The 14,085-nt window shown below is 35.9% G+C and overlaps 1 protein-coding gene across 6 annotated transcripts in view, besides 1 other annotated feature; it reads left to right on the top strand.

The window, feature by feature from the left end:
* Nucleotides 1-6,399, top strand: part of CASP5 (caspase 5) — a 28,926-nt gene extending 22,527 nt beyond the window's left edge. For all 6 annotated transcript variants that reach the window (NR_036562.3, NR_024239.3, NM_001136110.3 and 3 more), the window contains 5 exons: nucleotides 147-381; nucleotides 1,614-1,757; nucleotides 3,150-3,259; nucleotides 4,800-4,902; nucleotides 6,295-6,399. Coding sequence is in view for 4 of the 6 variants with exons in the window: in NM_001136110.3 (NP_001129582.1) it covers nucleotides 147-381; nucleotides 1,614-1,757; nucleotides 3,150-3,259; nucleotides 4,800-4,898 (588 nt within the window). In the remaining 2 variants the exon portion in view is untranslated. The remainder of the gene's footprint in view (nucleotides 1-146; nucleotides 382-1,613; nucleotides 1,758-3,149; nucleotides 3,260-4,799; nucleotides 4,903-6,294) is intronic.
* Nucleotides 66-360: an enhancer, noted in NCBI's record as "tiled region #11455; K562 Activating non-DNase unmatched - State 13:Ctcf". NCBI's record gives its function as "activates a minimal TATA promoter and a strong SV40 promoter by Sharpr-MPRA in K562 cells {active_cell/tissue: K562}" and the evidence as "EXISTENCE:reporter gene assay evidence [ECO:0000049][PMID:27701403]".
* Nucleotides 6,400-14,085: the final 7,686 nt, after the last annotated feature.

Genomic DNA, 14,085 nt, shown 5'->3' with positions numbered 1-14,085 from the left:
AAACTGCTGTCATGACTGAGTAAGCGCTATGTGAAGCACCACGACCCGGATGTTACATATGTTTCTTGTTTCGCTCATGGTAAATCTAGGAGGTCCTATTAATTGTGATGCTTCTCTGACTGAAGTTAGACATTGCTCTTTTATAGGATATGGAGTCAGTGCTGAGGGCATTTGCTGCCAGACCAGAGCACAAGTCCTCTGACAGCACGTTCTTGGTACTCATGTCTCATGGCATCCTAGAGGGAATCTGCGGAACTGCGCATAAAAAGAAAAAACCGGATGTGCTGCTTTATGACACCATCTTCCAGATATTCAACAACCGCAACTGCCTCAGTCTAAAGGACAAACCCAAGGTCATCATTGTCCAGGCCTGCAGAGGTGGTGAGTGCTGAGGCTGAACATCTAACAGTTTTGAAGGTGTATGCAGAGGATTGTGATGTTTGGTTTATATTTAGGGGAAACAATGTTAGACCCCATCCAGTGCAAATAAAGTACATTGAATTATGAAGAAACTCTACCTAAGGGGCTGATATAATGAGAAATTGTCTCATCAGTGGAGAAATTTCTGTACAATTTTATCCACGGTGATAGTGGTGAAGGAAGTGGTGAAGGAGATCATCAGAATCCCTAAATCAAAGTTAAACAGAAATATTCAAACTTTGAAATGGAATCATTTACATGATAGCTTGATTTGTAAATGATTTACAGACATGTTGACATTATGTGGTTTCTGAAGAATTTGCACTTGAAACTGAAGTTATTATGTGATACAAGCACCCTATTTATTCACAATTATTGAAGGGAAAATGAGTTGGGAGTTAAGGAAACTTGAGGGGATTTAAGTCAATCTTCTCTCTCCCTCTTTTTATTCCTGACTTCCAATTACCTCATGACTATTGGGATGTATATTTTGTTTTGTTTCTTTAAGAAAGCAGCAATAATTTAACTGAAAACTGGTAATGACATGATAAATTCACTATTAATTTACACATTGTTGAATGACACTAGAGACAAAGCAAAATGTGTGTGTGTGTTTGCATGTGTGTGGGTCTGTATGTATGTATGAAATTAGTTAGAAAGAACACTGAAAAATAACAAGGTGGGCAATTGTGATAGCCATGCTAAGTGAGGCACATCAGTGTATAAAAAGTTGATGTCTCTTGATCCAACCCAAATGTCCATCAATGATAGATAGACTGGACAAAGAAAATGTGGTACACATATCCCATGGAATACTGTGTAGCCCTAAAAGGAATGAGATCATGTCCTTTGCAGGGACATGAATGAAGCTGGAAGCTATCATCCTCAGCAAATTAACACAGGAATAGAAAACCAAACACCACTTGTTCTCACTTATAAGTGAGGGTTGAACAATGAGAATACATGGACACAGGGAGGGGAATATCACACACCGGGGCCAGTCGGGGGGTGGGCGACAAGGGGAAGGAGAGCCTTAAGACAAATACTTAATGCATGTGGGCTTAAAACCTATATGATAGGTGCAGCAAACCACAATGGTACATGCGTAACTATGTAACAAACCTACACGTTCTGCATTTCTATTCTGGAACTTAAAGTAACATAAAAAAAAAAGAAAGTTGATGTCTCTACAGAAAAACATGGGGAACTCTGGGTCAGAGACTCTCCAGCATCCTTGGCACTCATCTCTTCACAGTCATCTGAGAACCTGGAGGCAGATTCTGTTTGCAAGATCCACGAGGAGAAGGACTTCATTGCTTTCTGTTCTTCAACACCACGTATGTGTCTTTTAGTAACAGTCAAAAATTTGGGGGTGCTGAGGCCACCTTTGAATGATTCTATGAAATCAAGATAGGCCCTATGCAACAATGAGCTGAGAGAATGGTGTGTGCTCTCTATATATTTTGCATGATCTTATGTGTGCTGTGAGAATAGATTCCTTCCCCCTCCCACACACACATTTTAAAAAACTGTACTTTTATTATAAGTGTTACACTTTACAGTCAAAGGCATACCAAATATTAAAGCAATACAATACAAGGAACCCCATTCGCCACACACCATGTAAACATAGATGATGGATGCTGTTTTTTTAATAAATCCATTTAACATTTTGAATAGAAGTTTTATGGATCCCAGTACTGGCTGTCTTTCCAAACGATCAACTTCAAGCCCTCTTCTACATATATCCCACTTGATCCTACAAAGAGCAATGTTATTAAGTGTCCAGATAAAAATGTGAATGAGCTTTAAAAAAGGTAAGAAATGTTAGGGTGGAGCTAATTAGGTCTAATTACAGGAAACAGTCGTTTGTATTTCACCTCTAGGTAATCATCCTAAAGGGCTTTCTATTTTACTCTTTCCAAGTTGTAAATTTTCAAGTCTTATTTTTAAACCACTTTATGGAGGCATAGCTGACATATGAAAACTGTACATATTTAATGTATGCAACTCAATAAGTTTGGAGATTAGTACACACCCCTAAAATCATCACCCAAATCTATGCTGTAAACATCTCTCCTCCAAAAGATTCCTCCAGCTCTCTATTTATTATTATCATCATTCTGCAAGGGTGTGATAAGGATAATTTACATAAGATCTACTCTCTGCAAATTTTTAAGTATATAAGACAGTATTATTTACTATTGGCACCATATTATACAGTATTTTTCTATATTTTAATCTTCTATAACTGAAACTTTGGATGTGTTCATCTATTTTGTTTATTTTATGGTGAAAGACATCATGGTGCAATCTGTAAACAATCTTGGAGCCCGACGGTAGTTTTTTGTTGCTTCCTCACTGAACCTAAAAGTTTATTCATCCTTCTGAGCTTCTATTCTTTCCTTTGTAAAGTGAAAGAATTCCAGTTATTTCTCAAGTCCCCTTTTCTAAGCAAAGTGAATGAACATGAGGTCCATAATAAAAAGTTAGTTCCAAGAATCAAAATACAATCACTATGCAATCTCTTGCAATACTTACAAGCTGTCTTTTTTGTTCAACCTTTGCCAGCTTTTCTGTTTCCTCTGTGTGAAACCTAAGTAAATGTTTGGTTATAAGGGATTTCCATAAATCTATCAAGTAAATTCTCAAGCTATGCAAAAACAAAAATATAAACAAAAACATAGTGAAAGTCGTAGCCCAAGGCATACCAGGCTGTATCATCATAGATAACGTGTCCTGGAGAGACCGCACAAGGGGCTCCATCTTCATTACGGAACTCATCACATGCTTCCAGAAATATTCTTGCTGCTGCCACCTAATGGAAATATTTCGGAAGGTAAGCTTCCATTTCCTTTTCTAGTCATTTACTTATTTGCTCAGAAAGAATTTATCATTATTCACTAATCGAATAAAAATGACACAGTTTTTCAGGCAAGCAAAAGTAGTATGGCACCTGATTTCTGTCATTCAGGTGTTTAAAATCTGCTTTAGAGAAAGAAAATGTCAATATATCCCAGAAGAAGAGCAAAGTAAAACAAAATAATATCAGCTATAAGCTTCCTATTTTGGGTTATAACTTATTAAAATTCAGAGAATAGAAAATATTTTGAAATAATTTTTGTTAATTTACTAAATGAATAAAAACTGGATGGAGGTGAGGGGCTTCATCCTGATGACAAAGGGGTAAATGAGGCTTGCATGGCTTAAGACTATCTAGGACTCACACTTTTGTGAGAGATATGGATACTGAAAATATGGGTTAACAAAAAAATGTGCAATTACAGATTGTGGTAGAATTCATAAAGGCATGTAACAGGGAATAAAAAAGAAATCACTCTTTCCATGGGAAAGGGCAGAAGGGAAGGTTTGCTACTCCTTGCCCAACTTGGGACATTCCTTATTCCCCATCCTTCCTACTTTATTTTCTCCACAGTTCTTACCTCCTCCCATTAAGCATATATTAATAGTTTATTTATGTGTCTGTTTTTTACCTGTATTTACTCACTAATATGCAAACTTCAGGATGGCGGGGATTTGCTCAGCACCTCAATATGCCTGACATATAGCAGACATTCAATTAATATATATTGAATAAATAGATGCATGAATGAATAGATAAATGTTCCTTCTCTTTTTAAGGGAAAATAGGATTGGTATTAACACAGGAAAGTGTGGTTGTTTCTAAATTAAAAATTATAGAGAACAGTAAAACTCTTGTGGGAAAAGGAAGATATACCACTGGTGTTTAAAGAAGATTGTACCATAAATTGAGATGGGGTTTCTGTGAATAGAGAACTGGGAAGTTAAATCCTTTTGGATGATTAGGAATTAGACATTGTACTTTTGAGGGTATTCCTGGGAAAAGAACTAGAAATATTGGATTTACGGTAAGCAGGATCTCATTGATCAGTCCATGCATAAGATTTCAGAGGTCAGCATGGTGGTGTGGGCATGAAAGTTGTTCAGTGTTCAGGCCTTAAAGCAAGATTCTGGGATTTAATTCTCCTTAAATTGAAGAATCAGCGTTGGTGGGGGTTGAAAGTACTAAATCTTCCATATCCAGTTCTCATGAGCATATCCCAAAGGATATTTAATTGATTTCCACATCCGTAGGTCAAAAATGGAAAATAGAGAAAATGGAGGTTGAAAAGCCTTGACTAGGCATGCAGTGTTTATTTTGATGTAAAGTGTACAGTATGACATGGGGTGTCAATTCTAAGAGGTAGAGTAGCAGTGTTAAGGAGTTGGAATATCCATGGGCTTGGTCCTATCAACCCTGGAAGCTCTCTTCATTCAGGCATTTCCTGGTTCATGGTGTAAGATGCATTCTGAGAACCCAAAATCCCTCATATCTCATCTACTGTTTTTTCTTTTAGGTACAGAAATCATTTGAAGTTCCACAGGCTAAAGCCCAGATGCCCACCATAGAACGAGCAACCTTGACAAGAGATTTCTACCTCTTTCCTGGCAATTGAAAATGTAAGTATTGAGAGTTGTTGGAGGGTGAAATAAATGAAAGAGCTATATCGGTGGTGAAGTTCAATGACCAATGACAGCTGACTGCTTATATGGTCAAGTTAGTGTTCTTTATTGATGTAGTCTGGTGAGTATTTATTTGCTCTTTTTTATTCTACTTATATGCATTTAGTTTCCCTCAACTATATAATCAATCAAAGGGTAAGGAAAATTGCAGCAAAATGTAATACACAATGAAAGTCCTAGGTTAGTAATTATTAAAATAATAATGTACAAATATTACCATTATTAATTATGTTCATTTATCTCTCATACACTCCCTCTCTTTGTCTCTCTCTCTGTTTCTCTCCCACCTGCCACACTTAGTTACCAAACAGTGCATCAGACCTTGAACAAAACAGAGTAAACACAGGAGCTATCTATGGGGAAAGCAGGGCTTTGGTCCTCTGAGTGCACATATCACATTACTGTTGTTGACTTTCTCCTTAGTTCAGCTAAAGATGGGGTCCTTGTCACACGACCATGAGAAATTAGACTCACAGACAATCTGAAAGGTGAGGAGGGCAGGGTTTATTGTGTGAAAAGGAAAAAAATGGGAAACAGACCCTTCACAGAGCCAGAGTCCTGCTAATGCCCTTCCTGCCTCGCAGATTGAATACCAGGTACCACCCAGGAAGAGGAGGGGCCAGGCTTCTCCCTGCTGCAAATGGCATGAACTTCCCAAGGCTCCACCCCAGTGTGCATTCTTCCCAGTGCACAGTCTGGTGGGAGGTTCTGCCAGGGAGCCCTTTTTACTTGGCTGTCTCATTACTGACATTCAGCCACAGTTATGGGACTGTAGAAAATACATGCTCAACTATAGGTACTTTATTCAGGAAAACCTGCCTTGAAATAATGAAATTGGAATAAAGAATGCACAGAGTTGGAGAGTGAATCATGTGGTTCTTATGCAGGAGAGGTGTTCCAGCACAGAATACAAGTGCAAATGCCCTGGGGCAGAAATATGCTGAACAGGTTTAAAAAGAACTACAATGAGATAGTGTGACCAAAAGAGAATGCAAGTGAGGGAACTGACAGAGACAAATTAGGAGAAACAGTGAGGAGCCTCATCACAATGTGCTTGAACATCACATGGTAAATCTTTAAAAAAATATTATCTGAGTAGATAGGAAACCCTTCCAGTGCTTTGGAAAAGAGAAGTGACATAATTTAACTTAGGTTTTACAAAGATATTCCTGAGTACTTTTCACTAAATAGACACAGAGGTCACAGATGGAAGTCGAGGGAAATGGCAAAAGCATATGGCAGAAGATGGAAGAAGAATCATAATGAAGGATGGGATGAAGGCAGTGAGGGGTAACCATCTTGACCTTCTGTCCTTTCTCTCTTCTGCAGGAAACCACAGGCAGCCCAGCCCTCCTCTGTCAACATCAAAGAGCACATTTACCAGTATAGCTTGCATAGTCAATATTTGGTATTTCAATAAAAGTAAAGACTGTATCTTTTTAGATTGTATGAACTGTATCTTTTTAGATTCTCTAATAGACAATATAATTTCAATGAAAATGGTGGACGAGTGAAAATGAAGTGGAAGAAACTAACTAGATTTTCGAGTTTTATGGCTCATGTAACATCTATACTTGGCTGATGAAGACGACTGGCTGTGACTTACCGCCAACAATAGAATGAAAGAAGATGGTGTTAAAAGTATAAGATACCACCTCATACCCATTAGAATGACTCCCATCAAAACATACAAACAAACACAAAATAACAGGTGTTTGCAGGGATGTAGAATAATCGGAACCCTGTGCTCTGTTGGTGACAATGTCAAATGGCACCACTGTGGAAAACAGTATGGAAGTTCCTCACAAAATTAAAGCTAGAATTATCATAGGATCCAGAAACTCCACCTTTGGGTACATCCCTAAAATAATTGAAAGCAGGGTCTCAAAGATACACTTATACACCCATATTCATGGCAACGTTGTTCATGATATCTAAAATGTGGAAGCAACGAAAGTATCCATGGACTGAAAAATGGATAAGTAAAATATTGTATATAGATATAATAAAATATAATTTAGCATAGAAAGGAGGGAAGTTCTGACATATGCTAAAATATAGAGGAACTTTGAGGACATTATGCCAGGTAAAATAAGCCATTCACACACACAAAAATACAATATGATCACACTTATATGAGGTACCTAGATTATCAGATTCACAGAGACAGAAAGTAGAATGGTGATTGCCAGGTGCTAGGGCAGGAGAAAATGAAGTGTCATTTAATGGTTATAAAGTTTCAGATTTACAAGATAGAAAGAATTCTGGAGGTAGATGGGTGATTGTTGTGCAAAATTATGAATGTATTTTAATACTATTTGGCTGTACACTTAAAATTGTTAAGCTTGTAATTTTGTTATGGCATTTTACTACGATAAAAATTGCAAAAATATAATGATATAATTGAAAGTGAGAAGGTATGAGGGCAACATTAATCAACTTACATAGAGAAAATTTAACTACTGAGCAACATTGATGAAAGAAGAAATTAGGATTAAATATATTATTTATTGTTCCACAATTAATCAATAAAAAGTATGAACATCATGACATCATCAAATATTAGGTAGAATAGACCAGATATGTGGCTATGTAAGTGAGCTGCATCTCATTTTTCATATCAGGTAGTCAATGGCATTGTTTATGTTCTATATTTCGGGAAACACAGAGGTATAATAGTCATTATTGAGAATTCCAAATGTTACTGCCAAACAAAACAAAACAAAAATAATTGAAGGAAATTACCTCTAGTATGTGGGACTAAAGGTGGGGAGAGTTGTACTGGGAAATATGATTTTTATTGTATTCTTTTCTGTACTATGGACTGTCTCATGAATGTATTACTTTGACAAAATATTTAAAATTATATTGAATTGACACTTTTAATAATTTATAGATTTCTAAAAATCAGGTAGTATTGAATTTTAATGTGTTGAATTTTTAAAGGGTTTGTCCTATGTTGTGAAGCAAAGATTAAACAAATGGAGCAAATTGTTGATAATATATGATACTGGTGCTATAAGGAAAAAAGGTATAGGTAAATATGTGTCTGCCAGTTATTTATTTATGGGTATCAAAACACCCAAAACCTCAGTAGTTTAACACAATAAGCATTTGCTATTGTTCACAAGGTTACCAGTTAGCTAGGTAGGTCTTGACTCTGCTGAGATTATCCATGTGTCTGAGATCACCTCTGCATGGGGTAGGCATCTTTACTGAAAGGCTGGGATCTCTCATATGTTTGGAAAGCACATGGCTGGTCTAGAATGACCTTGGCTGGCTGGGGCAGCTGGGCTCTTTTCCACATGATGTGTCTTATTAGCCAGCAATGTGGCTCAGGCTCGTCCTCATTTAGGTTCAGGTGTCCACGAGGAAGAAGAGCACCAGGCTTCATAAAGCCTGAGCTGGGAATTGCACGAGATCCTTCTACTGCATTATGTTGGCCAAAACCAAGTCATAAGACTGTTACAGGGTTGAAGCAAAGGTCAAGGATACTAGGAAGCCAATGATTAAGGAAATCAATAAAATCGGTAATATATTAAGTGTTTTACAAAAGCATAGAAAAAATTCAGAAAGATGCAAGCTAAACATATAATTGGGGTTACCTTGTGTCAAATTAAAGAGTGTGGATAATCCTTTTCCACTTTACAAACTTTTCTATTGTTTAATTTTAGTGGCAAACCTATATTTATTATTAAAAAATGATTTAAGTATCAGTCTTTTGTATATTTAACAAACAAAAAAACCCAAGTGAGTGTGATAGATAAACAATACCCCAATTGACACATGAACAGAATTGGAGAGAGAAGAAAAGAGATCACTTATGCGACTTTTTGAAATAGTGAAGGGAGTATCACTGGCAGCCTTAAGTCAGCCTCTGTCCCCTCACCTTCCAAATTTATACTTCCAGGGTTGTGCAGGCAACAGTGGAGTGAGAACTCCCAGCAATTTAGAGACTAGTGGTGGTACAATGAAAAATAGGAGTTTAATTTGAGTTATTAACGGTGTTAAAAATTGACAGGAAAACAGAACACAGAGACTTATGTTTGCATGTAAGTGTGCATGCTTTTATTATGATAAATTTGTTATATCAAAAAGAGAATTTTATAAGGGGGAGGAAAAATCACGCACCAAAATTGAGAGTGCAAAACGATAAGACAAATTTGGGAATTAAAAAAATTGTATGGTTGCAATGTAAAAGTTGAAGTATGGTTTGAAAAGATTAGATGTACTGATGAAATATATAGGAGTAATTATTTGTCCTGGGGACAGTGTAAATTATTTTAGAATATTATTAAACAGGGGCGTTATTTATAGTCAGATTTATAATTAAGAAAGATGGCTTGCAGAATGGACAGCAGGTTGAATGGCATACAGGAAGCCAAAATTGCCTGTGTTACAATTCTTTGCCAAGACTCTTAAAACTAAGGTTGGATAGAATTAGAATTCGTAACTAGGAATCAAAGTAAAAATGAATTGGGTTCAAATAATATGAGTTCTTTTTCTGTTAGTCTTTCATTTCCAAACGACTTCTCTTTCCCTCCATTCATATATGTAGCTATCTTCCATTGGAGATAATAATAATCAGTAATGTCACCCAAAGAGAAAAGAAGAATTTGACTTAAAAGGGGAAAATTAGACTTAAAATATATTAAAAAAATACTCTCTTATCTGCCTTGAAGGGCAGGCATTTTCTGAAATAAAGACAAGAATTTAGTGAAACTATTTTCCTTTACCCAGAAGGATCCACCCCGTTCCTTTTTTCCCTAACATCCAGTGAAAGAAGTAAATAGTGTTGACATATACTCACATTAGCAAGTATTTACACATATTTTGAAAGTTTTAATTTTAAAGACATGGTCCCTGTAATCTTTTGCCTTGTAATCTTTTGATCCATAATCCCACCATCATTTTTAGTTGGAGAATATGTATAACAACAGAGAAAAGTATGAGATGCTTTTTAACTTTTAATTTTGGTGTTATCACAAATAATGAATGCACTTATGAGATACATGGGATATATTGATACAGACATTCAATGTATAATAATCACATCATGAAAAAATAGAATATTTATACCCTCAAGCATTTATCCTTTGTGTTATAATCAAATTATCCCCTTTTAGTTATTTTTTAATGCGCAATTAAATTATTTTGACTATAGTCACCTGGGGTGCTGTCAATTACTAGGTCTTATTCATTCATTCTAATAAATTTTGTACCTATTAACCATTCCCACCTCCTCCTGCAACCCTCCACTACCCTTCCAGCTTCTGGTAATCAACTTTCTACTCTCTATACTCATAAGTTCAATTGTTTTTATTTTTAGATTCCACAAATACATGAAAACATGTGATGTTTGTCTTTCTGTGGCTGGCTTGTTTTGCTTAATGCAATGATCTCCCATTCCATCCATGTTGTTGCAAATGACAGAATCTCAGTCTTTCTTATGGCTGAATAGTACTGCATTGTGTATATGTACCATATTTTTTTTATCCATTCATCTGTTGATGGACACTTAGACTGCTTCCAAATCTTAGCTGATGTAAACAGTGCTGCAAAAAAATATGGGAGTGCAGATGTCTCTTCAATATACTGATTTTCTTTCTTCTGGCTACATACCCCGAAGTGGAATTGCTGGATTATATGGTAGCTTTATCTTTAGTTTTTTTTGAGAAGGCTCCAAACTCTTCTTCATAGTGGTTGTACTAATTTACATTCCCAACAGTGTATGAATGTTTCCTTTTCTCTGCATCCTCACCAGCACTGTTTATTGCCTATCATTTGGATAAAAGTCATTTTAACTGGGGTGAGATGATGTATCATTGGAGTTTTGATTTGCATTTCTCTGATCATCAATGGTGCTGAATATCTTTTCATAAGCCTGTTTGTTGTTTTTATGTTTTCTTTTGAGAAATATCTATCCAAATCTTCTACCCATTTTTATTTTTTTCTTTTACCCATTTTTAAATCAGATCATTAGATTTTTTTCTTATAGAGTTGTTTCAGCTCCTTATAAATTTTGGTTATTAATCCCTTTTCATTTGGAGAGTTTGCAAATATTTTCTCCCATGCTGTTGGTTGTCTTTCACCTTGATTATTTTCTTTATTCCACAGATGCTTTTTAACATGATATGATTCTATTTGTCCATTTTTGCTTTTGTTTCTTGTGCTTGTGGGGTATTACTCAAAAAATTTTTGCCCACACCAATGTTCTAATAGTTTCCCTAATGTTTTATTTTAGTAGTTTCATAATTTGAGGTCTTAGATTTAAATCTTTCATCAGTTTTGATTTTGTTTTTGTATGTGGCAAGAGATAAGGTTATAGTTTCATTCTTCTGCAAATGGATATCCTGTTTTCCCAGCACCATTTATTGAAAAGGCTATCTTTTCCCCAGGGTATATTCTTGACACCTTTGTCAAAAACGAGCTCACTGTAGGTGTGTAAATTTGTTTCTGTGTTCTCTATTTTGTTCCATTGGTCTATGCATCTGTTTTTATGCCAGTACCATGCTGTTTTAATTATTATAGTTCTGTAGTATAATTTGGAATTATGTAATGTGATTCCTCTAGTTTTGTTCCTTTTGCTCAGGATAGCTTTGGCTATTCTGGGTCTTTTGCAGTTCAATATAAATTTTAGACTCATTTCACCTATTTCTGTAAAGAATGTTGTTGGGCATTCTTTTTATTGGACAGAGATGGCATTTGGACAGAGATGGCATTCAGTCTGTAGGTTGCTTTGGGTAGTTTGTACATTTTAACAATATTAGATCTTTCCATTCATGAGCATGGAATATCATTTTATTTTTGCGTCCTCTTCAATTTCTTTCATCAGTGTATTATAGTTTTCATTGTAGAGGTCTTTCCCTTGTTTGGTGAAGTTAAATCCTAGGCATTTATTTAAGGCTGCTATAAATGGGATTACTTTTTAAATTTCTTTTTTGAATTGTTTAGTGTTGGCATGTAGAAATGCTACAGATTTTTGTATATTGATTTTATCTCCTGTAACTTTATCAAATTTGTTTATCTGTTCTAATAGTTTTCTGGTGGAGTCTTTACGATTTCCAAATAAGAAGAAAATATGATCTGCAAACAAAGATAATTTGACTTCTTTCTTTTTAATTTAAATGTCTTTTATTACTCCTGCCATTTTGTTATTTGTTGTCTGCTTGTTTTATGATCTTATCTTCCTTTTTTCCTTTTCTTCTGTCTTGCTTTTAGCAAAGGTGATTTTCTCTTGTAGTATGATTCAATTTTTTGCTTTTTACTTTTTGAGTATCCATTGTATGGATGCCATGAGGTCTGCAAATACTATCTTATAACTCATTATTTTAAACTGATAACAGCTAAATACTGATTGCATAAACAAACAACCATGGAAAAAGAAAACTAATAAAAACTGTATACTTTAGTTGCATCATCTCAATTTTTAACTTTTTGTTGTTTCTCTTGATGTCTTCATGTACTGTCTGCATCTTGAAAAGTAGTCGTAGTTATTATTTTTGATTGGTTTAGTCTTTCTAATTAAGAGATGTTTACACATCACAATTACAGCGTTATAATATTCTGTGTTTTTCTGTGCTCTTACTATTACCAGTGAGTTTTGTATCTTCAAATGATTCTTTCTTGCTCATTTAAGTCCTTTTTTTCAGATTGAAGAACTTGGTTTAGCATTTCTTGTAGAACATGTCTGGCATTGATAAAAGCCCTCATCTTTTTTTTGTTTGTCTGGGAAAGTTTTTATTCATCTTTTTTGCTTGAAGGACATTTTCACTGGATGTGCTTTTTTAGGGTCAAAGTTTTTTCCTTTGGCATTTTAATTATGTCACGCCACTCTCTTCTGGCCTGTAAGGTTTCCACTGAAAAGTCTGCTGCTAGATATATTGGAGTATATTATTTGTTTCTTTCTCTTGCTGCTTTTAGAAATCTGTCTTTATCTTTGACCTTCGGAAGTTTGATTATCAAATGTCTTGAGGTAGTCTTCTTTGGGTTAAATCTGCTTGGTGTTCTATAACTTTCTTGTACTTGAAGGTTGATATTTTTCTTTAGGCTTGGGAAGTTTTCTGATATTACTCCTTTGAAATAAACTTTCTATCCCTATCTCTTTCTCTACTTCATCTTTAATGCCAATAACTTTTAGATTTATCCCTTTGAGCCTCTTTTCTAGATCTTGTAGTCATGCTTTATTGTTTTTTTTCCTTCCTACATTTCCTGTGGCTGTATACTTCCAAATAAACTGTCTTCAAGCTCATTAATTCTTTATTCTGCTTGATCAATTCTACTATTAAGGGACTCTGACGCATTCTTTAGTATATCAATTATATTGTTCAATTCCAGAGTTTCTGCTTGATTCATTCTAATTATTTCAATCTCTTTGTTGAATTTACCTGATAGAATTCTGAGTTCCTTCACTGTGTTATCTTGAATTTCTTTGAGTTTCATTAAAACAGCTATTTTGAATTCTCTGGACAGTTACAGACATAGAATTTTGGAAGAATTCTCTAGATTATCAGATGGGCGCTTGTTCTTTTTCCTTATTTTGTCCCAAACAAAAGAGTCTCTCTTTCTGTGCTGAGCCATCTGGAACTGGGGTGGAGAGACACAAGCACCCCTGTCACCACCACCGCTATTTCAGACCTGAAGCCAGCACAGCACTGGGTCTCTCCCAAGATGCTCTGTAATCACTAACTGGCTACAACCTCTGTTCACTCAAGGCCCTAGGGCTCTGTGATCAGCAGGTGGCAAAGCCAGACAGGTTTGTGTTCTTCCATTCAAGGTGGTGAGCTCCCCCAGGTTCTCTACAGGCCCAGAAATGCTATTTGGGAGCCAGGAATTGGAGTAAAAAATCTTAGTAATTTGCCTGTTGTTCTATTCTACTGTAGCTAAGCTGGCATTTAAACCACAATACAAAGTCCTTCCTGCTTTTCCCTTCCCTTCCCACAGGCAGAGGAGACTTTCCCTGTGGCCACCAGCACCACAGGCCCATGGGGCATTCTACCAGGCCACCACTGATGTTCACTTAAAGCCTCAGGGCTCATCTGTCAGTTTGTGATTAATGCTACCAGGCCTGAGACTCACCCTTCAGGGCAGTGGGCTCCCCTGTGGCCCATGACAGGTCCA

Source organism: Homo sapiens, chromosome 11 (genome assembly GCF_000001405.40).
Source record: "Homo sapiens chromosome 11, GRCh38.p14 Primary Assembly".
NCBI classification, from domain to species: Eukaryota; Metazoa; Chordata; class Mammalia; order Primates; family Hominidae; genus Homo; species Homo sapiens.
This window is presented reverse-complemented; position numbering and strand designations above follow the sequence as displayed.